General features: G+C 39.2%; 1 pseudogene; it reads right to left on the bottom strand.

Moving 5' to 3' along the window:
- Window positions 1-22,183: 22,183 nt before the first annotated feature.
- Window positions 22,184-22,269, bottom strand: LOC124903432 (uncharacterized; annotated as a pseudogene).
- Between the last annotated feature and the right edge of the window lie 3,095 nt (window positions 22,270-25,364).

Raw genomic sequence — 25,364 nt, forward strand, 5'->3', positions numbered from 1 at the left:
TCTGTTTTCTTTTTATTGATGGTTTCTTTTTCTGTACAGACACTGTTTAGTTTGTTGTAGTCCCACCAACTTTCGATAAAACCTATGTCATAGAATATGTTGTTTTCATCTTTGTGTTAAGTGCCTTTTATGATTTATTAAGAATGTTGGCCGGGCGCGGTGGCTCAGAGTACTTAACGTGTCATTTGCAATTGGAGGACCTAGTGGTCTGTTGTCTATTTATACCTGTGCAATCTACATCATGATTTACTCTGGCTAGCTGTTCTAATGGCAAAGCAAGGAAGAATTTCCTGAGTTGCACATGGCTTGTACCCTCAGAGAATGCATGAATTTCCCTTCAAAAACCAGGAGGAAAAAGCTGGCTTTATTGATCTTAGGCCCTGTCCAAAAAACTAACTAGAGGTACAAAATAGATCTCAGTAAAAACAATCTGAAGGTACTGCTGGGTTACACGGTGCTAAAAAAAATAAGTAAATGACTTAGTATAAATTAGATATGCTGTCCTCTATAAGGAAACTTGTCTTAGGTGAAACATCACCAGCATTTACAAGAAATAGACTTGTTTTTAAACACCTATTGAACCCAGAAGAGAGCACAGGTGCCAGACAAGGATGACAATGCCAATTGAAAGAGAACTCTTTTCCTACCTCCTCTCTACCTGAAGGGCCACAAAAAGGGTTTATGAGATGAGAAAGAAAAGGATTTAGGAATGCTAATTAGAAGCCTCAATTTTAAAGCAAGTTTGGATATTTGATAATTACAAAGAAAAGATCACATCAATTGCTATATTGAGATGCTGTGATCTCTAGTGACTATTGAAACTTTTATGTTACCTAAAAGAGACCAGAGATGTTATGGGGTCTGCCCAAGTTTTCATTCAGGGGCAGGGGAAGAACTAACTCCATAGTTTAGATTTAGAGGACAGTCAATATGAGAGGAGTCAAAAATAGGGTGGCCTGGTATTACATCCCATAGATTGTTCTTGTTCAGTATAAAGGTTTTGTATATTTTTGTATACAAAATACACAACTTCTACTTCTTCACTGAAGTTAATATTAGATATGGAAAGCTAAATCATAATTCTGCTGTATAAGAAATACACCATAATGATTAAGGAAATAATAATGTTTATTTACAATCATAAAAATATGTAGAATAGCTTTTTAGTTATGTAAATTTACCCAAGAAGGTAGTTGAAATGAAAGTAAGAGAAAAGCCTATTATGAGCTCTTTTTTAAACCTCTTCATGGTGTCCTTTTAAGTTGTTTAATTTTAACAACTCTATTCCCTTCGGTGTAAACATTTTGATTTCAGCAACATTTCATAATTTATCCAACATGTAAAATCACATTAATGCAATGTTTGACTAAATTTGATTTTTTTAAAAAAATTTGTTCATTTTAGACAAGAAAATGTGCTTCAAAGAAATCAGAAATTATTATCACATTATGTATTACAGCCATTTATTTGTGGAAATGGAGCATGAAATAAACTATTTAGTTCATTAGCTCGAGTAGGAGAGCACTGTTCAAGCATGTCGTCCATTAATCATTGATAACCAGTGTTTAGTGTGCAGACATGCAAGACTGCTAATCTGGCTAAATAATATAGAATCCTCTTTATCAACATCATAGTATGTGCAACTTTTATGTGTCATTTATCACAGTCCCCTTGGCAGAGCCCATGGAAAAAAAGCTTTGAATTGAGATTAATTAAATAGTAAAGCTTTATGTGTTTTCAGAAAACAGATCTTGAAATTTTCAAATATTTTCCTTGTTCTTTTTTTTCTCTTATGATATCTCAAACGAAATTTGGCAAGACATCTGTGTGACCAGTTCAATCTCTAACTCCCTTTTGAAATCATGGTCTACCCTGTTCTTATAACAAATGATTGATGTCCTGTCAATAATCAACTCCTGATGAATGCTGCTGAATAATCATCAGTAATATTGAATGGGAGGAAATCCAAATGAAATCTTGTACACAGTGTATTCAAATAATCATTTTCCTCGGCATCGAAATACTAGAGGTAGATTGATTATACTTTAGAGATAAGAGCAGTGGATATTTTCTTCCCAAGGTTATCAATAAAATCACTTATAAAATTAACTCTGCCACTTTCCAAATATACTGCCCACCCTTAATAGCAAAAACTTTAAATTCTCTTTAAAACAAAATAGCAGCACTATTCAAAATTGTGATACTATGGAAATGTCAAAGTTCCTATGACAGCTTAATAATAAGCTGGTATAGTCACATAATGGAGCACATAGAGCAATGAGAATAAACACCCTGCAACTCAACAATATAGATGAATCTCACAAACACGTTAAGCAAAAGAATCAAGACCTCAAAGCTATATACTGTATGATTACACTAGTATAGAGTACAAAAAAGCAACAAAATTGAATTGTGCTATTAGAAGTCAGGGTGTGGTTACTTTTGATGGAGGCATCAGTGGTGAGGAATGGTTAGTGACTAGCAAGGAATGTGTGAGAGTTTTCTGGGCTGCTGGTGATATCTGTTTTGTGAGCGGGGTGCTTCTTGATCACACATGTTGACGTTGTAAAAATCCAGTGAGCTGTATACTTATGGTGTGGGCTGTTTTCTTTTCTTTTTCTTTTTTTTTTGAGACGAAGTCTGCTCTGTCGCCCAGGTTGGAGTGCAGTGGAGCGATCTCGGCTCACTGCAAGCTCTGCCTCCTGGGTTCACACCATTCTCCTGCCTCAGCCTCCCGAGTAGGTGGGACTACAGGCACCCACCACCATGCCCAGCTAATTTTTTGTATTTTTTAGTAGACATGGGGTTTCACCATGTTAGCCAGGATGGTCTCGATCTCCTGACCTCGTGATCCACATGCCTTGGCCTCCCAAAGTGCTGTGATTAAAGGCATGAGCCACCGTGCGATATGGGCTGTTTTCTGTAGGTAGGTTATACCTCAATAGAATGTTAAAAAATGATTCTACATGGATGTAGAACAAAATATATAGGTCTCTTTCTTTTCATAGACAGAGGATCTGGGTGAAGAGAGACTGAGACACAGGTGTCCTAAAGCAGAGGACAACAGTGCAGAAAGAGGACCTGTGCCATCTGAAGGCATGCCTCACAGCAGAGAAACATCAACTCACCTGAAAGGGAAGCAATGGACAGTTGCATTAATGAAATTGGATCATGCTTTCTGCTTGTTATTAAATTTTACTTTCTGATAGTTAAGGAATGCTTGTAACTGAGGAAGTACCGACTTTTCTGGAAGGCATATTTCCCAGATTTGTAAGAAGAGTTAGAACCACAAAAACATGGTAGCAAAAAAGGTAACTCACCATGTCTTTTGGGCTTCGGGTACCCCAGCCTGAAAATTTGGTTCTATTTCAGCAATCAGGTAATTTAGTAGTATTTGTCTTTTTATATTCCCATTTAAATAAATCTAGACTGTATTACATCTGCTCTTTCTGAATATGTATAAACCACATCCTAAGATCTGCTGGCTGTGGAATTTAAATATTTGCCCAAACTGGCCACTTCACTTTCTCTGGGCTGGAAGTCCTGTAACACCAAGTCAATCCCATATATAAGCTCCTTTTATTTCCTCTTACATGACCAGGCTTGGACATGTTTTTGGCTTGCCTTCAACACTCTCCTTCAAGACTTAATTTTTAGCATCTTCCATTGGCAGATAAGGGTCCCTTTCACATCCAGGTCTTCAGATACAGCTTCCAAACACCAAGTGGCCACAGATCCCATCTTCTATCACACCATCCTATCAGGGGAACCAGACTAGACAAAGAAAAACTTAAAGGCAGTGCTAGTCCTGTCAAACTCAGAGGATGCTTTAATAGCATTTGCTCTGAATTTTGAATTGAATTAATTCAATTTGAAATTTGAGTTGAATTAATTCAATTTGAAATTTGAATTGAATTAATTCCCCAATCTGTACAGACTCACAAGATGGAGAGAGAAGTAATCATTGTTAATTGTAATAATAATAATATTGACTAACATTTAATCAGCCTTTATAATGTGCTAAGGACTGATTTACTGTGGTTATATGAATATCTTCTTTAAGCCTCACTACTGACAAAGATTTTCTCCTTGATCAAATTTTGGTCAGGTTACCATGAGCCCTCTTCTGAACTGGGACCTTGGCCCAGCCTATCTCAGCCTAGCCCAGTTAAGCAAGAATCTTGTTAACTCCATTTAGCAAGAATCTCCCAACCCTTAATACACGATCTCCCTTAATGTCTGATCAAATTCATTATCCCCTACCTTTGATGTATAAATCCCTGGCCTACCTTTAACAAAAATTCTTTTAGAACATTAAGCAAGAATGCCCCTACCCTTGATCTCTCCTCTTAGTAATTTTCCATTCACTGTCCCCTACACTCTGTTCTTTGGCTATAAAATCCCAGCTGCTTTTGCGGTAGTCAGAGGGAGCTCAGTTGCTCCCCACTATTGTGACAGTCATGACCCCTATTGCAATAGTCTTGAATAAAGTCTTCCTTACAGTTTTAACAAGCATGAGAATAATTTTTCTTTAACACAACCACTCTATGAGGCATGTAATGCCTGCATCTCCTTTCTACCAAGATAAAACAAAGACAGAAATTTCAAATAAAACATTTAAGTACACACAATAATACCCAGGATTGGAAGCCAGGCACTGTGACTTCAGAGGCTAAGCTCTTGGCTATTTTCCTTTGTAGGAAAATACTGTTCTGCTTCAAATTGTGTTTTAGCCACACACACACACACACACACACACACACACACACACACAAAAGTTCAATTGTGGTGATGTTAGACTAGGCTTTTATGGCTTATGAAGATGTAGGTTAGCAGGAGAGAAAAACAGACTAAGTTAATCTTTCTCAGTCAACCTCTTTTAAAGAAAATGATGCTACATGAACTTCAAAGGAAATAGAATTTAGTGCAATGAAAACTTAGCAAGTGAGAATAAAGTGGAGAAAATGCTGTTTTGACAATACCCAGAGATAGTAAAACCTTCAAGTTCACTGTTTTTTTTTTTTTTTGTTGTTGTTGTTGTTGTTGTTATTGACAAAATGTAGACTCTGCTGCTGAGAAGTTTAATAAAAGAAAATATATTAGCTAGCTTTTAGGTATAGGTCAGTGAAATCCACATTAGGGACCACTTTTGTTACATATCAGAAATCTTTTTATTAGGTACAATGCAGTTCTTTCACTCTCTGTGCCAGACAATCTGGCTGGTTAAAACAATTTCATGTTTTGGAAGGTCATGCTTGAGGTGGGAGTAACAGGTTTAAGAGCTCAACTACCCACAAGAAGAATAGGAAAAATTTTACTCCTACTCAAGCAGCCAACCACTGTCAAAACTGAAAGAAGCATCAGTAAAATAAGAATACACTTACTGTAGTATCAGCTGTGAAGAAACTGGGCCACCTAATGGGAAAGTCTGAGGCAGAGAGAGGAAAAGAAGAGGAAGTAGCAGGAGGATAGAGAAAATCAGTGTTTTGGGCCCACACTGTCATGGCAAACAAGCTAAGTCTGTGGGTCTGAGGACTCCCAGGAACCTACATGTACTCAGGGCATCTCATATCCTGTGAGAACTGCTCTGAACCTACAAAAGGTGTCCTACCTCCACCTTCTAGGGCATAGGAGGACATATGAATGCATATCCACATATGTGAGCAGGGATAGGTAAAGACCATTCTTTCTCCCATTCTCCCCATTGGTAATAGAGTCCCCATGTTTTAGGTGGCATCATGACCTGCCAGCTTGAAGCTGCATTTCCTTGGCTCCCTTGCAGATAGTTGGATTAGAAAGATCTTGCCAAACGAATGTGAGCTAAAGAGATATGCACAACATCTGGGACTTGTCCTAAAGTCTTGCTCTTTTTAACTAGGAGACTGACATCAAGAAGCTTAAAGTAAAATTAAAAATTGGATGGCAGTAATAGGATTCATAATGGAAGCAAGCAAATAAATGTTTTTGTATTCGTCCATTTTCATGCTGCTGATAAGGACATACCCAAGACTGGGCAATTTACAAAAGAAAGAGGTTTAATGGACTCACAGTTCCACGTAGCTCACGAGGCTTTACAATCATGGTGGAAGGTGAAAGACATGTCTCAAATGGTGGCAGACAAGAGAGCTTGTGCAGGGAAACTCCCCTTCATAAAACCATCAGATCTCCTGAGACTTATTCACTATCATGAGAACAGCATGGGAAAGACGTGCCCCGATGATTCAATTACCTACCACCAGGTTTCTCCCACAAAGGGAATTGTGGGAGCTACAATTCAAGATGAGATTTGGGTGGGGACAGGGCCATATCATATCAGCTATCATGTTACATAAATGGTATAAATAAATACTACCATGTCACCAATAAATAGATGCTACCATGTTAACTGAGTTGGAAAAACAAGATATGCCTGAAACTAAACATGTCAATGGCAGTGGGGGAAACAGGTCAGATTTAAGAAATAATTATAATTAAGGCCAGGCGTGGTGGCTCACGCCTGTGATCCCAGCACTTAGGGAGTCCAAGGCAGGCAAATCACCTGAGGTCAGGAGTTTAAAACCAGCCTGGCCAACATGGTGAAACCCCACCTCTATTAAAACTGTACAACAATTGGCCAGACGAGATGACGCATGCCTGTAATCCCAGCTACTCAGGAGGCTGAGGCAGGAGGGTCGCTTGAACCCGGGAGACTGAGGTTGCAGTGAGCTGAGATCACGCTACTGCATTCCCACATGGGTGGCAGAGCGAGGCTCCATCTCCACAAAATAAATAAATGAATAAATAAATAAATAAATGATTAAAAATCAAACTCTTTTTTTTAATTTTATTATTATTATACTTTAAGTTTTAGGGTACATGTGCACTATGTGCAGGTTTGTTACATATGTATACATGTGCCATGTTGGTGTGCTGCACCCATTAACTCGTCATTTAGCATTAGGCATATCACCTAATGCTATCCCTCCCCACTCCCACCACCCCACAACAGTCCCCGGAGTGTGATGTTACCCTTCCTGTGTCCATGTGTTCTCATTGTTCAATTCCCACCTGTGAGTGAGAACATGTGGTGTTTGGTTTTTGGTCGTTGCAATAGTTTGCTGAGAATGATGGTTTCCATTTCATCCATGTCCCTACAAAGCACATGAACTCATCATTTTTTATGGCTGCATAGTATTCCATGGTGTATATGTGCCACATTTTCTTAATCCAGTCTATCATTGTTGGACATTTGGGTTGGTTCTAAGTCTTTACTATTGTGAATAGTGCCGCAATAAACATACGTGTGCATGTGTCTTTATAGCAGCATGATTTATAGTCCTTTGGGTATATACCCAGTAATGGGATGGCTGCGTCAAATGGTATTTCTAGTTCTAGATCCCCGAGGAATCGCCACCCTGACTTCCACAATGGTTGAACTAGTTTACAGTCCCACCAACAGTGTAAAAGTGTTCCTATTTCTCCACATCCTCTCCAGCACCTGTTGTTTCCTGACTTTTTAGTGATCGCCATTCTAACTGGTGTGAGATGGTGTCTCATTGTGGTTTTGATTTGCATTTCTCTGATGGCCAGTGATGATGAGCATTTTCTCATGTATTTTCTGGCTGCATAAATGTCTTCTTTTGAGAAGTATCTGTTCATATCCTTTGCCCACTTTTTGATGGGGTTGTTTGTTTTTTTTCTTGTAAATTTGTTTGAGTTCATTGTAGATTCTGGATATCAGCCCTTTGTCAGATGAGTAGGTTGCAAAAATTTTCTCCCATTTTGTAGGTTGCCTGTTCACTCTGATGGTAGTTTCTTTTGCTGTGCAGAAGCTCTTTAGTTTAATTAGATCCCATTTGTCAATTTTGGCTTTTGTTGCCATTGCTTTTGGTGTCTTAGACATGAAGTCCTTGCCCATGCCTATGTCCTGAATGGTATTGCCTAGGTTTTCTTCTAGGGTTTTTATGGTTTTAGGTCTAACATGTAAGTCTTTAATCCATCTTGAATTAATTTTTGTATAAGGTGTAAGGAAGGGATCCAGTTTCAGCCTTCTACATATGGCTAGCCAGTTTTCCCAGCACCATTTATTAAATAGGGAATCCTTTCCCCATTGCTTATTTTTGTCAGGTTTGTCAAAGATCAGATGGTTGTAGATATGCAGCATTATTTCTGAGGGCTCTGTTCTGTCCCATTGATCTATATCTCTGTTTTGGTACCAGTACCATGCTGTTTTGATTACTGTAGCCTTGTAGTATAGTTTGAAGTCAGGTAGTGTGATGCCTCTGGCTTTGTTCTTTTGGCTTAGGATTGACTTGGTGATGCGGGCTCTTTTTTGGTTCCATATGAATTTTAAAGTAGTTTTTTCCAATTCTGTGAAGAAAGTCATTAGTACCTTGATGGGGATGGCATTGGATCTATAAATTACCTTGGGCAGTATGGCTATTTTCACGATATTGATTCTTCCTACCCATGAGCATGGAATGTTCTTCCATTTGTTTGTATCCTCTTCTATTTCCTTGAGCAGTGGTTTGTAGTTCTCCTTGAAAAGGTCCTTCACATCCCTTGTAAGTTGCATTCCTAGGTATTTTATTCTCTTTGAAGCAATTGTGAATGGGAGTTCACTCATGATTTGGCTCTCTGTTTGGCTGTTATTGGTGTATAAGAATGCTTGTGATTTTTGCACATTGATTTTGTATCCTGAGACTTTGCTGAAGTTGCTTACCAGCTTAAGGAGATTTTGGGCTGAGACAATGGGGTTTTCTAGATATACAATCATGTCGTCTGCAAACAGGGACAATTTGACTTCCTCTTTTCCTAATTGAATACGCTTTATCTCCTTCTCCTGCCTGGTTGCCCTGGCCAGAACTTCCAACACTATGTTGAATAGGAGTGGTGAGAGAGGGCATCCCTGTCTTGTGCCAGTTTTCAAAGGGAATGCTTCCAGTTTTTGCCCATTCAGTATGATATTGGCTGTGGGTTTGTCATAGATAGCTCTTATTATTTTGAGATACGTCCCATCAATATCTAATTTATGGAGAGTTTTTAGCATGAAGGGTTGTTGAATTTTGTCAAAGGCCTTTTCTGCATCTATTGAGATAATCATGTGGTTTTTGTCTTTGGTTCTGTTTATATGCTGGATTACATTTATTGATTTGCGTATGTTGAACCAGTCTCGCATCCCAGGGATGAAGCCCACTTGATCATGGTGGATAAGCTTTTTGATGTGCTGCTGGATTCGGTTTGCCAGTATATTATTGAGGATTTTTGCATCAATGTTCACCAAGGATATTGGTCTAAAATTCTCTTTTTTGGTTGTGTCTCTGCCAGGCTTTGCTATCAGGATGATGTTGGCCTCATAAAATGAGTTAGGGAGGAGTCCCTCTTTTTCTATTGATTGGAATAGTTTCAGAAGGAATGGTACCAGCTCCTCCTTGTACCTCTGGTAGAATTCGGCTGTGAATTCATCTGGTCCCGGACTTTTTTTGGTTGGTAAGCTATTGATTATTGCCACAATTTCAGAGCCTGTTATTGGTCTATTCAGAGATTCAGCTTCTTCCTGGTTTAGTCTTGGGAGGGTGTATGTGTCGAGGAATTTATCCATTTCTTCTAGATTTTCTAGTTTATTTGCATAGAGGTGTTTGTAGTATTCTCTGATGGTACTTTGTATTTCTGTGGGATTGGTGGTGATATCCCCTTTATCATTTTTTATCGTGTCTATTTGATTCTTTTCTCTTTTCTTCTTTATTAGTCTTGCTAGCGGTCTATCAATTTTGTTGATCCTTTCAAAAAACCAGCTCCTGGATTCATTAATTTTTTGAAGGGTTTTTTTTTGTCTCTATTTCCTTCAGTTCTGCTATGATTTTAGTTATTTCTTGCCTTCTGCTAGCTTTTGAATGTGTTTGCTCTTGCTTTTCTAGTTCTTTTAATTGTGATGTCAGGGTGTCAATTTTGGATCTTTCCTGGTTTCTCTTGTGGGCATTTAGTGCTATAAATTTCCCTCTACACACTGCTTTGAATGTGTCCCAGAGATTCTGGTATGTTGTGTCTTTGTTCTCGTTGGTTTCAAAGAACATCTTTATTTCTGCCTTCATTTTGTTATGTACTCAGTAGTCACTCAGGAGGAGGTTGTTCAGTTTCCAAGTAGTTGAGCAGTTTTGAGTGAGTTTCTTAATTCGGAGTTCTAGTCTGATCACACAGCGGTCTGAGAGACAGTTTGTTATAATTTCTGTTCTTTTACATTTGCTGAGGAGTGCTTTACTTCCAACTGTGTGGTCGATTTTGGAATAGGTGTGGTGTGGTACTGAAAAGAGTGTATATTCTGTTGATTTGGGGTGGAGAGTTCTGTAGATGTATATTAGGTCCGCTTGGTGCAGAGCTGAGTTCAATTCCTGGGTATCCTTGTTAACTTTCTGTCTCGTTGATCTGTCTAATGTTGACAGTGGGGTGTTAAAGTCTCCCATTATTATTGTGTGGGAGTCTAAGTCTCTTTGTAGGTCACTAAGGACTTGCTTTATGAATCTGGGTGCTCCTGTATTGGGTGCATATATATTTAGGATAGTTAGCTCTTCTTGTTAAATTGATCCCTTTACCATTACGTAATGGCCTTCTTTGTCTCTTTTGATCTTTGTTGGTTTAAAGTCTGTTTTATCAGAGACTAGGATTGCAACCCCTGCCTTTTTTTGTTTTCCATTTGCTTGGTAGATCTTCCTCCATCCCTTTATTTTGAGCCTATGTGTGTCTCTGCATGTAAGATGGGTTTCCTGAATACAGCACACTGATGGGTCTTGAGTCTTTATCCAATTTGCCAGTCTGTGTCTTTTAATTGGAGCATTTAGTCCATTTACATTTAAAGTTAATATTGTTATCTGTGAATTTGGTCCTGTCATTATGATGTTAGCTGGTTATTTTGCTCTTTAGTTGATCCAGTTTCTTCCTAGCTTTGACGGTCTTTACATTTTGGCATGTTTTTGCAGTGGCTGGTACCAGTTGTTCCTTTCCATGTTTAGTGCTTCCTTCAAGAGCTCTTTTAGGGCAGGCCTGGTGGTGACAAAATCTCTCAGCATTTGCTTGTCTGTAAAGTATTTTATTTCTCCTTCACTTATGAAGCTTAGTTTGGCTGGATATGAAATTCTGGGTTGAAAATTCTTTTCTTTAAGAATGTTGAATATTGGCCCCCACTTTCTTCTGGCTTGTAGAGTTTCTGCTGAGAGATCCGCTGTTAGTCTGATGGGCTTCCCTTTGAGGGTAACCCGACCTTTCTCTCTGGCTGCCCTTAACATTTTTTCCTTCATTTCAACTTTGGTGTATCTGACAATTACGTGTCTTGCAGTTGCTCTTCTCGAGGAGTATCTTTGTGGTTTTCTTTGTATTTCCTGAATCTGAATGTTGGCCTGCCTTGCTAGATTGGGGAAGTTCTCCTGGATAATATCCTGCAGAGTGTTTTCCAACTTGGTTCCATTCTCCCCGTCACTTTCAGGTACACCAATCAGACATAGATTTGGTCTTTTCACATAGTCCCATATTTCTTGGAGGCTTTGTTCCTTTCTTTTTATTCTTTTTTCTCTAAACTTCCCTTCTCCCTTTATTTCATTCATTTCGTCTTCCATCACTGATACCCTTTCTTCCAGTTGATCGCATCGGCTCCTGTAGTTCTTGAGCCTTGGCTTTCAGCTCCATCAGCTCCTTTAAGGACTTCTCTGCATTGGTTATTCTAGTTATCCATTCATCATGTAGTTATCCATTCTTCATGTAGTTCTTGAGCCTTGGCTTTCAGCTCCATCAGCTCCTTTAAGGACTTCTCTGCATTGGTTATTCTAGTTATCCATTCATCTAATTTTTTTTCAAAGTTTTTAACTTCTTTCCCTTTGGTTTGAATTTCCTCCTGTAGCTCGGAGTAGTTTGATCATCTGAAACCTTCTTCTCTCAACTCGTCAAAGTCATTCTCCATCCAGCTTTGTTCTGTTGCTGGTGAGGAGCTGCATTCCTCTGGAGGAGGAGAGGCACTCTGCTTTTTAGAGTTTCCAGTTTTTCTGCTCTGTTTTTCCCCATCTTTGTGGTTTTATCTAGTTTTGGTCTTTGATGATGATGACGTACGGATGGGTTTTTGGTGTGGATGTCCTTTCTGTTTGTTAGTTTTCCTTCTAACAGACAGGACCCTCCGCTGCAGGTCTGTTGGAGTTTGCTAGAGGTCCACTCCAGACCCTGTTTGCCTGGGTATCAGCAGCGGTGGCTGCAGAACAATGGTGGCTGTAGAACAGCAGATATTGGTGACCTGCAAATGCTGCTGCCTGATCGTTCCTCTGGTAGTTTTGTCTCAGAGGAGTACCCCACCGTGTGAGGTGTCAGTCTGCCTCTACTGGGGGGTGCCTCCCAGTTAGGCTGCTCGGGGGTCAGGGACCCAGTTGAGGAGGCAGTCTGCCCATTCTCAGATCTCCAGCTGCATGCTGGGAGAACCACTCCTCTCTTCAGAGCTGTCAGACAGGGACATTTAAGTCCGCAGAGGTTACTGCTGTCTTTTTGTTTGTCTGTGCCCTGCCCCGAGAGGTCGAGCCCACAGAGGCAGGCAGGCCTCCTTGAGCTGTGGTGGGCTCCACCCAGTTCGAGCTTCCTGGCTGCTTTGTTTACCTAATCAAGCCTGGGCAATGGCAGGCACCCCTCCCCCAGGCTCGCTGCTGCCTTGCAGTTTGATCTCAGACTGCCGTGCTAGCAATCAGCGAGACTCCGTGGGCGTAGGACCCTCCGAGCCATGTGCGGGATATAATCTCCTGGTGTGCCGTTTTTTAAGCCCCTTGGAAAAGTGCAGTATTAGGGTGGGAGTGACCCGATTTTCCGGGTACTGTCTGTCACCCCTTTCTTTGACTAGGAAAGGGAACTCCCTGACCCCTCGCACTTCCCGAGTGAGGCAATGCCTCGCCATGCTTCGGCTCATGCACGGTGCGCTGCACCCACTGTCCTGCACCCATTGTCTGGCACTCCCTAGTGAGATGAACCCGGTACCTCAGATGGAAATGCAGAAATCACCCATCTTCTGCATCGCTCAGGCTGGGAGCTGTAGACTGGAGCTCTTCCTATTCGGCCATCTTGGCTCCACCCCCGAAACTCTTAAGATTTAGTGAATATGGCTTAAGGGATAAGTGATAGCCAAGATGTCTCAGCACATATATCTAGCTGACTGGGTGGTGGTGCCATTCATTGAGATAGAGAATACATAGAAAAAAGCAATTTTAAGGGATTGACTAGAAATCTTGGTTAGTTACCACAACAAAGCTGATGCATCTGACACAGGAATGGAGCCAAATTTTTCCTTCTTTGCAAAGAGTACCAGTGCCCTGAAAATACAGAGAAAAGACCTCATGCACCCCTTCTTCCACAGGTTGGAGGATGATCTCATGCTTAAAATGAAAGAACTATTCATTAATGGCAAAAACAGAGGCACCCGCCTCCAGGAAGCATATTAATTGTACAATCACTGTCATAATATGAGAGACTTTGCCTTCTGCATCTGAAAATGCCTCTCCATGTGGGGACTCAAAATCCAGTATGACAGGTGGAGTAGAACCCAAAAGCACACACAATGGAATTGAGACATAAAAAGGAGGCATGAAAATTTTATGCCATGGAAGCTCCAGTAAAGAAAGAGTAATAGCAATCAAAGATCACTATATAAGATGATTAAACAGCCACTCATTATTTTCTCCCATTTGTATTAGAAAAGGGTGCTGATCTTCATGCTATTCACTGTCATCAATAAACCTCTCTCTTTTTCTTGTTTTCTATAATGAACTTGTGCTGCAAGTGTAATCACTGCCATTTGAATAAAAAATATGGCCACACCCTCAATAGGAATTACCTGTGGGTGGTGGTCACTGTGTGGAGTTGAATGGGAAAATGAGCTTGATAAACAGCTGGGCCTGCTGGACCAATGCCTCGTCTGTGACACTGCCATAGCCCAGCAGTATTTGTTTTTTTAATCTGTTCAGAGGAATATATTAGTCCAAGTCCCACTTGGAAACAGAAAACATCCTTCCTGTGGTTGAAGTAGATATAAGGGAAAATATTATGTAGAGTATGGCACCTGACAAGACAGACACCTTCAGAAAAGTTGCCTGCAACTTTCACAAGCACAAAACAAAATACAAGCACAGTTCCCAGCTTGGTGGGTGCAGAAAACTTGCATCACATCATCCCCTGGGTGTCTTGAGTTTGCCAGAGCCCTAAGATTATCCAACAAGAAGCACCGAAATATATTAATTATAAACACTAACTCTGGAGCCAGACAACCTGGTTCAAATTCCAATACTGCTACTCAACTTAGGCAAATTCCATATGTTCTTTGTGCCTCAGTTTCCTAATCTTTAAAAATGGAGATATAATAATCTACAAGACTAACAGGCTTCTGGGTTAAATGATTTAAAATGTAAAATGTGGCCGGGCACGGTGGCTCATGCCTGTAATCCCAGCACTTCGGGAGGCCGAGGCGGGTGGATCACGAGGTCAGGAGATCGAGACCGTCCTGGCTAACATGGTGAAACCCCGTCTCTACTAAAAATACAAAAAATTAGCTGGGCACGGTGGCAGACGCCTGTAGTCCCAGCTACTCGGGAAGCTAAGGCAGGAGAATGGTGTGAACCCGGGAGTTGGAGCTTGCAGTGAGCCAAGATAGCGCCACTGCACTCTGGCTTGGGCGAAAGAGTGAGACTCCATCTCAAAAAAAAAAAAATAATAAAAAATAAAATGTAAAATGTAAAACAGAACACTCCCAGGTACTCAGTGAGAGTTGTTTACGCATTCCTGCTACTGGAAAAGGAGGTGGGGGACCCAAAAGGACCTGTTTAAAAATCAGCAGCAACACTGTCATCTAGAGTCCATCCTGAAGGGTTGTCATATGAACACACCATAGCCCAGGATCAGCCTCCTTCACCTGAAATCAACAATAGCAGTATAGAAATCCGAGGCATGGTGCACAGTCTCCCACTAAGCTGAATACACATTTTCCTTACCAAAAAGTTACCTAGTTGGGGGATTTTTTTCTCTATATTCTGGCCAAGAGCAGTCACTCTTATAACTTCCTTACCTGCCAGAAGGCTGCATCTCTTTTGGCCTGTTTAAAATTTTGAATTCTGGAACCTAAAACTTTTGGATACCTCAAGTTGTGGAGAACATAAAGCATCACATTAAAATGTGTGGGGTATGGGACTAAACCTAAACTCAGACATGGAAACATAAAGTGTTTCTCTACTGCCTGCTGAATTTGGGGCCACTGTAGGTTTCTAACATAATAAATGGTATCTGGGAATTCCTTGCAATACAGGGCTACAATTTGATCTCCCTGGTCATTAGCAAAGTCTAAAAAAATGGCTCACAACTTGGACCTCTCTGAAAACTTGTGCTGTCCGTGAGTTTGCTCTGAGCATCTGCTGTCTCCGCAAGCTTCATACCCAGATGACTTTGTGGCATGAGAGCTACTTTGTTTCCTACTTTGGAAAGGTTTTTTCTTTTTTTCCTGGTGAAAGTGCATTTATTACTATAATTTTTCAAGGGCAAACACATCCATGGCACCATGGAAGCTACCTGTGGTCCTATGTCACATACTCCTCCTCCCCACTAAGTTTACCATATTTGATTTAATGCAACGCCTCCTCCACCCAAATTAAGGTTTCTAACCAAGGTGTTTAGGTTTTTCCTCTCCTCCATCTTCCTCAGCAACAAATACTTTGGGGAAACTTCAAGAAACACATCTTTAATAGGACAAAAGACCACAAGACATGATCTAAAAAACAAGGGCTTTTGAGGAATTCTCAACATAAAGAAGGGAAATCTGATTATTAAACAAATATCTCCATTCCATTCAATCCTCTAAAAGAATAATTCCTAGTCCTCAATATGCTTATCCATAAAATCTGGAGACCTGTAAAATGCAAAGCCTGCCACATGACCCCAATCTTTTCATTGATTTTCCCTTCCAGACTTGACAATCGCGAACTATTATATACTCCCCTTCTTGACTAGTGAACAATAGAGTGTGAAAATTATACCATCCTGTATGTCCTGCATCACTAGAGGTGGCTCCAGTACCTCACTGATGGAAGGTAATTGGGTCCAAAGTACATCCTTAAGTTAGCGAAGTCATTCTCCGAAACTCAGATTAGCACCACACCATGTACATAAACTGGGGCAAGGACCATGGGCACATGTCAGAGCCCACAAACAACTCCTTTGGTCATCATAGCTGGAACAGCATCTGCCAGTCTCCAAAGTCAGCTTGGTCCACACCCAAAATTTTGACTACAGTTTGTTAATATATCTCACTGAATTAATTCCCCATCTATTGTTTCAAACACACACACACAACCCACAGAGGGAAAAACCTCTCCACTCCATTTAGGCAAGTAGAGATAATTTTTCTTTTTTTTTTTTTTTTTGTCATGCCATCGCTACAAGTTGGTCCTATACACAACACTCTCACCATAACCATTCTCTTTATTAATACCTCTCAGGTCTCCCTTTTCCCACTTTATTCACTTTAGTTCTTGCATTAACAGAACCTATGCTTCATTTTTTTTAAGGAAGTCATAATGAATAATTCAGGAAATGTTCCAGGAACACAACTATCATAAAAATCAAGAATTATCTTTGAAGTTCTCCTCCAGAAAGAGTAGTAGCTAGAGAAGCAGTGTAGTATCATGGTGAACTGCAAGGACTGTGGGGCCACATTCATGGTTTCAAATTTCAGCTCTGGCACTTATTAGCTGTTTGACATTGGGAAAATTACTTAACTTCCTTATGGCTGTTTCTTCATCCATCACATGGGGATATTAATGAGACTGCATCATAGATTTTTTTATGAGAATTATGAGTCTCGTTATACCTAAAGTGCCTAAAACAATGCCTGACACACAGAGAACATGATATAAGCGCTAGCTCATATTGTTGCTGACAACCACTGTGTTATGCTATCTCCTAAGGTAGAGAAGATAGGCTCTAGAGAAACAGACTTGGGTTTGAATCCTGACTCTGCCTCTCTCTAGCTGAATAGCCTCGGACAGGTTACTTATGAATATGATGACACCCACCTTATAGGATTTTAATAGGATTAAACAAACAAAAAAAAACAAGTATACACTCCTCAAAAACCACTAGCAATTATTAGTATTAAAAAGTTTTCCCAAGATATAAGAGAAAGAAGGGCTAAACTAAAGCAAATAAAAATTTAAAAACTGAAACTGAAACCCACACAGTTTCTAACTTTGCAATTGCTTAAACTAGGGAGTTAACACTTAGAAAGAAAGCTAGGAATGGAGGAGAATGGGATAAGTAGTTATTAATGAAGTACAATGACAGCATTTCTAAAATCTCAGCCTCTTCCCCCATGCCTTCTAAGTAAATCCAAGCTATTCTCCTGTTCCAATATTCAAAATTGCCTGCTTATCACTATGCACCAAGAAAAACGCAATTGTGAATCCCAAATGGCAATTCTAATACAAAGGTCCTGATTCTCAAAATGAGCTTTTTAAAGTTATTCAGTCATTTAAAAAGTTTTACGTTGATACCATAGAGTAAAACTAAGTTAGGTTATCTAAATCACCTCTTTAATTTTACAGATGATGTCACTGAGAGCAATAGAGGTTGAAAAACTTACCTAAAGTTATATGACTAATAAATAGTGGAACTAAAGTTAAATTAACACAGATTTCTAATTCCTAATTTCACTGTGTATGTAGGGTGCTTGCTTCTTTCTGTCTCTTTTTTTAATCATGTACTGGAAAGATGTTTCTCCTCTTTTATTGATTCATCTCTTTGGAATGTACATGTCTCTGTATCCCTGGGAAGGTGAAACAAGTACATACAGAAAGTAGAATTAAATGCAGGAACACAGAAAGTGGCCATGCTTCATTAAGAGCAAATGGAGTAAACCTATGTGTAGCAGAGCAGGGATTTTGCCATAGCTATCTGATTTTCCTTCTTACAGAATCTGTGTATTCCTTGCTCATGTCTCATTAAAAGTTGCTGTTGGTTTGCTGGGGTAATTTTAAAAGTTTTGAAGACGAACTAAAGTTATTGCCCTACACATGAGGACTTAACTGCACTTGAGGTTCGTTGACCTATTTACTTTCCTCAAACATTTTGTGCCTATGATAATGAGAACTTGAAATAGAGCCATAGTCAGTAGGAAAGACAGCATCATCTGCTTTTCAATTAAATTATCCAGCTCAACAATTTCTTATTTACACCAATGCTACAACCAGATGGAGGGGAGGACCTCTCACATCTATAGTTGACACTTTATTTTCTTTTCCAGATTCTAAGCTCTTACAATTTTCCTCATTTCAATCTGCTGGGGGAAAATGTTCGTTTTCTTATTTGAGAGACATAAGTTTCCGGTAGGGGTAAAATATAAAGCCTTACTAAAGTAGACATCATTCTAAATGCCGTTTTTGAAACAAGCGACCTTAAAGATTTCATTATGACTGCTTTTCAGAGCAACTGAAATGCCTAATATACAAATTGCATTTTATCCATGCTATAAGCAAGGAAATAAAACTGTAAATGCAATGTTTTGTTTTCAAAATATACAGTTTAGAATCATGCAATTTTTTTACTAACAGAGACAATGCATTTTTTCATTGTTAAATTAGTATAGGCCATAGTGAGAACCAAATTCTCCTAACAGTCTTATCTTCGTAATGTTAATATTGTGGTACCTGCTAACCACCAGATGTGAGTACCATAGCACCATCTTGCTTATATTAAGGGGTCCTCAACTGGCTTTCATGTCATGGCTCAAAGATGAAGGTACACGCTAATCAAAGGACTCTAAATTCCAGCCAAATAAAAAACCTATATCCTCTTATTGACTAAAAACTTGAAAAAAATGGAAATCAAAGAAAAAGAAGAATTTAGATAAAGGATGACCCAAGAAAACACCTTTAGTGAGACTCGCTTGAGAAGGCTTAATCTCGACTCAGATACTTTCCAGAACTTATTCTAGACTCCTCGCAGGATGCTAAGAGACTCTGTGGGATATCAGGAAGTATTACTTCAATGAAAGCTCAAAGAAATTGCCTTTCTATCCTCAGATAGAATGTTTAGGCCCATTCAAACAGACATGAAGGAAGAGGCAGAACAATATAGAACTGCCAGTATAACTTAGTTTCAGATCCTCAACTTCATAAAGGATCTCAGTGGGTCTGAAGGCTCTCTAGATTTCTCAGGCCAATTCCATGACCAGAACAATCTTATAGATATTTCAAATCCCATGTGCCTCCAATATAGCATCGTCTTTGGTGCTACAAGCTGCCCTATTTTAACAATAAATGATATAAACCCCACATCTTTGGGACATCAAGATGGCCTGCTTTTTTATTACTGACTATTCTTTGAATGTCCAAGTCATTGGGGCTCATTAGGAGGAACTCCAATTAATGTGTGCAATTAAAAGGAACCAGCTAGACAAGAGCAAACAAATTCTATGAAACCTTCATCTGATCAAAAGATCGCCTTCACAATGGTTCCTCAATAGTCTATCCAGTAGCAGTCACCCAGGAGACATAACCCTCTTCATCCTATAATAATAGGAATAGGTTTAAAGGGCATCAGGCAAAAGTCTCCTAGCCCTCAGTGGTGTCAAAATTTTGATGTCTTCCAGGGACTTCATCGCCTAATCTGAGACTGACTGACTGACTGACTGACTATACATACACATACTGACTACATATCTGACTACATATACTGACTGTATATACATACTATACTGACAATATACACCCTATACTGACTATACATACACACTGACTATAATTGACTATATATGCACACACAAATACACACGCATATATATATATTCATTATAATTTAGATATATAGAAAGATTTATGAAGTTGTATTAGATATTTATCATATTTTCCTGCCCTACATCAAATCCCTCTTATTCACATAATAGCAGTTGGGGATATCTTGTCTTTCCCCATTCTCAGTTCATATAAATGGATCTACCCCTGGCTCTGAGCTTCCATATGCCTCAGGCCTTGTCCATTAGAGCATAACACCTGATGACCAGAGGCATTTAATTGAGTAATGAGCATAACCCAAGCTACAGGACCAAAGAAACTCAATCCCAGGGAAATTTAATTATAATTTTAGAAAAGAAATTTTTGCCTTTAAAAGTAGGGAAAGTGGTAGTGGAGGAAAGTGGCTGGTTGATTCAGCTGAAATGAAGCTGATGCGGAAGGAAGGAAAAAAAAAAAAGCTGAGAGGTAAAGATAAACTAAACTTTGAGGACTTTGTTTTAGTTTTAAAATACAGCTCTGCCAGAAGACTGACCTATGCCTAGAATTTTCTATTATATGAGTCAGCAAACTCTTTTTTTCCCTTTAAGTCAGATCATATTACATGCAATGAAGAGTCCTCACTACGAGATTTTATTAAACCTCTTTAGCTTCATTCAAGCCTTACTTTTCAGATGAATCATAGTGCAAGCTTTTCAAAGAAAGCTAACTTTATTAATGAGTATCTTGTAAATAGGTACACACAGACATACACCATAAGTGTGGGTAATCTATCTTTCTTCCCAAGAAAGAAATGGAGTAATAATATGAATATCAGTTAGAGAATAGGATTTTTTAATATCTTAAATTCAACCAAAAAGGGTACTTTGAAACAAATCTGAAAATTTTCAAAATATCTTTAAAATTTTTGATATCAATCCATAGAATATCTTTCTGATGATAATAAGGCACATCTGAATTTTGGTAGAAAAACATAAAAAATCAGAAGACTATACATTAAACAATAACAGCTTTATTCAAAACATGTAAGACTTCCACAAGGGCTGTTTTGCTTTATAGTATGACAAGTGCTACCTTGTTGGCATTCTAAAGTGAACGGTGATGTGGAGAAAGGCAGTCCTTTCCATTCTAAAAAGGAAAATATTTGCATCTACTCTAATAATTTTCTGTCAAGTTAAGAAAAAGGACTGTTCTCATTATTTGTGTTCTCCCCAAAGCAGGCACAGAATATGTAGGAAATGAAAAAAAAAATGTTTAGAAGAGCTCGTTTTCATGCACTACGGATTCTAACCTTGTCTCCAAGAGCCAAGGTTGATGCATCCCATGCTAAATTAAATCTAAGATGTATGCAGTAATGAAAAGGGTAGCATTCCATGAAAAATTCCACTTTTCAGTTAAAGTACCTAGCGTTTATTAAATATGCAAAAATTACAATGTCAATATAACTGCAAAAATTAGGGTTTTCTTTTTAAATGTTTAAGCACTGCAAAGAATGAAACAGCTGAAGACTTTCACAGCTTGTTATCTGTATCTTTTTCTCAAAAAACCTGCACTAATAAATAGGCCATACACTTCCCAAAGATAAGGGATTGTTGTTCATATCCCAGTGAGCAGTTTATTGAATACATTTGAACAAATTGTCTTTGTTCAATGACTCTGACTAATTCTCCTGCTAGTTGGATCAGTGTTACAAACCTTGGTACCCTGTGATTCATAAGCATTCATATTTTTGAGCTGGTATATCCTCTCCATGCAGCTGATCATTGAGCACAAAGATGTTTTATATTAGAATAACATGTACCTTATTTTTTAAAACTGAGATCTGCAAAGGCTTAAGGAAGCTGAGGCAACAATATAAAAGATCTGAAATAAACATGTATTTGAATACTGTACCAATAACTGATTTTTTTCTTCTTAAATTACTTTTTCTGATAACAGTCAATAAGTTTCAGTAGGAAAATGCAGAAAACACAGAAAAATATACAGAATAAAAATCACCTGTAATTCCTACAGGTGATTTTGAGAATTAATTTTAGAATTAATTCCAAAAATATTAAAGTTCTAAAAACTTCAAATTCTTCCAAAAATTTTTAAATCTAGGGTGAAGAAATCTTTCCAGGCCTTTTTTTATTGTTCCTTTTTTTCTTCCAAATTTTATTTTAACTTCAGGAGTACACGGGCAGGATGTGCAGTTTGGTACTTAGGTTAATGTGTACCATGGTGGTTTGCTGCACAGATCATCCCGTCACCTAGGTACTAAACCCAGCATCCATTAGCTCTTTTTCCTGATGCTCTCTCTCCTTCCAGCCCTGACCCTCCAACAGGCAAAATATGGAAATAAATAAAGACCCTTTTTTGAAAATTTAGATTATATGCTAAATACTATTTTGTACTCTTTGAGGTTTTTTTTTTGTAATTCATGTCAGACAGGTAATGTGCAGACATGGTAACAGAGTTTGAAGGAGGCATATCTCACACATGAAAATCCAATCATCATGCTTAACATTCTTTGTTTTTTATAGTACATGTATCATGAACATTTCTTTACATCATTAATTATAAAATATGATCACTAACAACCTATAAGAATTTACTGACCTTTTCATTTAAAAATACTTTTATTGGTTTACTAGAGGGAAGATATCAGGAGACAAGGCTGATGTGTAGCTTCCACTTGGACAGAAAGAACAGCGTGTGGAGACTCACACCATGGACTTTTACTCCAGAAACAGCAGCAGGAGCATACCAGGAAGACTGAAAGAAATAACAGATCCTTTGAAAGAAGCAGCAGGCCACTGCAAATGCTGCAAGATAGGCAAAAAACGGAGTTCACAAAGTGTGAAAGGGGAATACCTGCCTCTAAACACATCCCCACTGGGGAACCTGAAAATCCAGATTACGGGAGAAGGATTTAACCTTACCTGGAGCTGCAATGGATTTAGTGTGAAATACAAAAGTAGAAGCAGCAGTGGAAAGAGCATCGTATGCACTCCCATTCTCCAGCTCGAGCCCAGGGAAGCCATCCCTGACTGTATTTCACAGGAGCCCTTGGGGAAGGCAGCCAACAGAATGTGGGAGGGGTCACAGGGTAAAAGAAGCTTCCAACTGAACTTTGTAATAATTTTGGCTGGGCGCAAACTCTTCTGAGCAAAATCCGGAGGTGAGGGGAACTGCTGCAGAAAGAAGAGCAGGAGTCTAGCAGACAAGGTGGGCAGATGGGCAGGGGCATGGCCTGAAAGCCATGCTGCTTTCTCAGTGGGGAAACTTACAGCCTGGGGCTAGCTCTGAGTCCCACTCTGCAGGCTGCCTGGAGATAAGCTTGTGTCTGTTAGAGGTGGGAGCAAGACCGGCCATGCCAATTGTGTGAGAGCTGGGTGAGGCCTAGTGCTACCAGCTTTCCCCACTTCCCTGGTGACAGAGGCAGCCATAATCCCCCTTCATAATAACCCCATTGGCCTGAGAATCACTCCCCATTCCTTGTAGTGGCCATGGCAAGCCCTACCCAAGGAGAATATGCCTAACCCTGCCCCCCACTGATGATATTTCTCTACTTGCCCTGATAGATCACAGAAGACATAAACTCCTGAGAGCTTTATGACCTTGCCTGTCACCTGAGAAACCCAAATTCTTATCCTTGCCAACTTAGGGCAAGCTTATATTCCCCTTCTACTATCAAGCTAGTGCTTTCTCAAAAGCTCCACCTCCTGGCAGGAGGCCAACCAACTCAGGAACTCAGGACATTACTGAAACTCATGACAAAAAACCCCTGCTCCAAGGAAGGAGAAAACAACAGCTAATTTCACTGCCTGCAACATCCTGGGTAACCAGTGGTCCTAGTTTGTCCACGAGACAACTTCATTGATAGCATAACCAGCATTCAAGAAAACCAGCACACTATCTACACACATATCCACAACCAAGGACTCTCACAGAGTCTACTTTGTTCCCTTGCCACCTCCACCAGAGCAGGTGCTGGTGTCCATGGCTGGAAGACCTGAAGACAGATCACATCACAGGACTCTTTGCAGACATTCTCCAGCACCAGCCCAGAGCCTCGTAGCCCCACTGGATGACTATACCCAGAAGAACAACAACAATCACTGCATCTGGCTTGCAGGAAGTCCCATCCTCAGGTGGAGTGTACCATATCAAGGGATCACTCCATAAGACAAAAGAATCTGAACAGCAGCCTTTGAGTTCCAGGTTTTTCCACTGAAATAATCTACCCAAATAAGAGGGAATCAGAAAAGTAATTCTGATATGACAAAACAAGTTTATATAACACCCCCAAAAGACCACATTGGCTCCCCAGCAATGGATTCCCACCAAGAAGAAATCTCTAAACTTCCAGATAAAGAATTCAGAAAGTTATTAAGCTTCTCAAGATACCAGAGAAAGGTGAAAAATAAAAAAGTTTAAAAAAATACAAGATATGGATTAAAAATGTTTCAGAGAAATAGATATTATAAAGAAAAAACAATCACAACTTCTGCAAATAAAACAAACACTTAGAGAAGTACAAAATGCACTGGAAAGTTTCAACCATAGAATCGAATAAGCAGAAGAAAGAACTTCAGAGCTTGAAGATAAGGCTTTTGAATTAACCCTGCAGAAAAAGACAAAGAAAAAAATAATTTAAAAAAATGAGAAGACTCCAAGAAATTTGGGATACGTTAAATGACCAATTATAAGAAGAATTGGTGTTCCTGAGGAAGAAGACAAATCTAAAAGTTTGGAAAACATATTTGAGGGAATAATCAAGTTAAACTTCCCTGGCCTTGCTAGACATCTAGGCATCCAAATATAGAAGCTCAAAGAACATCTCGCAAATTCATTGCAAAAAGTTCATCACCCAAGCACATAGTTATCAGGTTATCTAAAGTCAAGACAAAGGAAAGAATCTAAAGAGCTATGAGGCAAAAACATCAGATAACCTATAAGGGAAGACATAGCAGACTAACAGCAGATTTCTTAGCAGAAACCCTACAAGCCAGGAGGGACTGAAGTCCTATCTTTAGCCTCCTCAAACAAAATAATTGCCAGACAAGAATTTTGTATCTAGCAAAACTAAGCTTCATAAACGAAGAAGAGGTAGTCTTTTTCAGACAAATAAATGCGGAGACAATTTGTCACTACCAAAACAGAACTACTAGCAATGCTAAAAGGAGTTCTAAACCTTGAAACAGAACCTCAAAATACACCAAATTAGAACCTCCTTAAAGCATAAATCTCATTAGGCCTATAAAACAATAACACAATGAAAAATCCAAGGTATTCAGGCAACAACTAGCATGATGAATAAAACAGTACCTCACATCTCAATTCTAACGTTGAATGTAAACAGCCTAAATGCTCCACTTCAAAGACACAGAATAACAGAATGGATAGAAATCCACCAACCAAGTATCTGCTGTTTTCAAGAGACTCACCTAACACATAAGGACTCACATAAACTTAAGTTAAAGATTAGCAAAAGGTAGTCCATGAAAATAAAAGCCAAAAATGAGCAGGAGTAGCTAATTCTTGTATGAGACAAAACAGACTTTAAAGCAATAACAGTTAGAAAAGACAAAGAGGGACATTATGTAATGATAAAATGAT

This window comes from Homo sapiens, chromosome 14, assembly GCF_000001405.40.
Source record: "Homo sapiens chromosome 14, GRCh38.p14 Primary Assembly".
Lineage (NCBI taxonomy): Eukaryota > Metazoa > Chordata > Mammalia > Primates > Hominidae > Homo > Homo sapiens.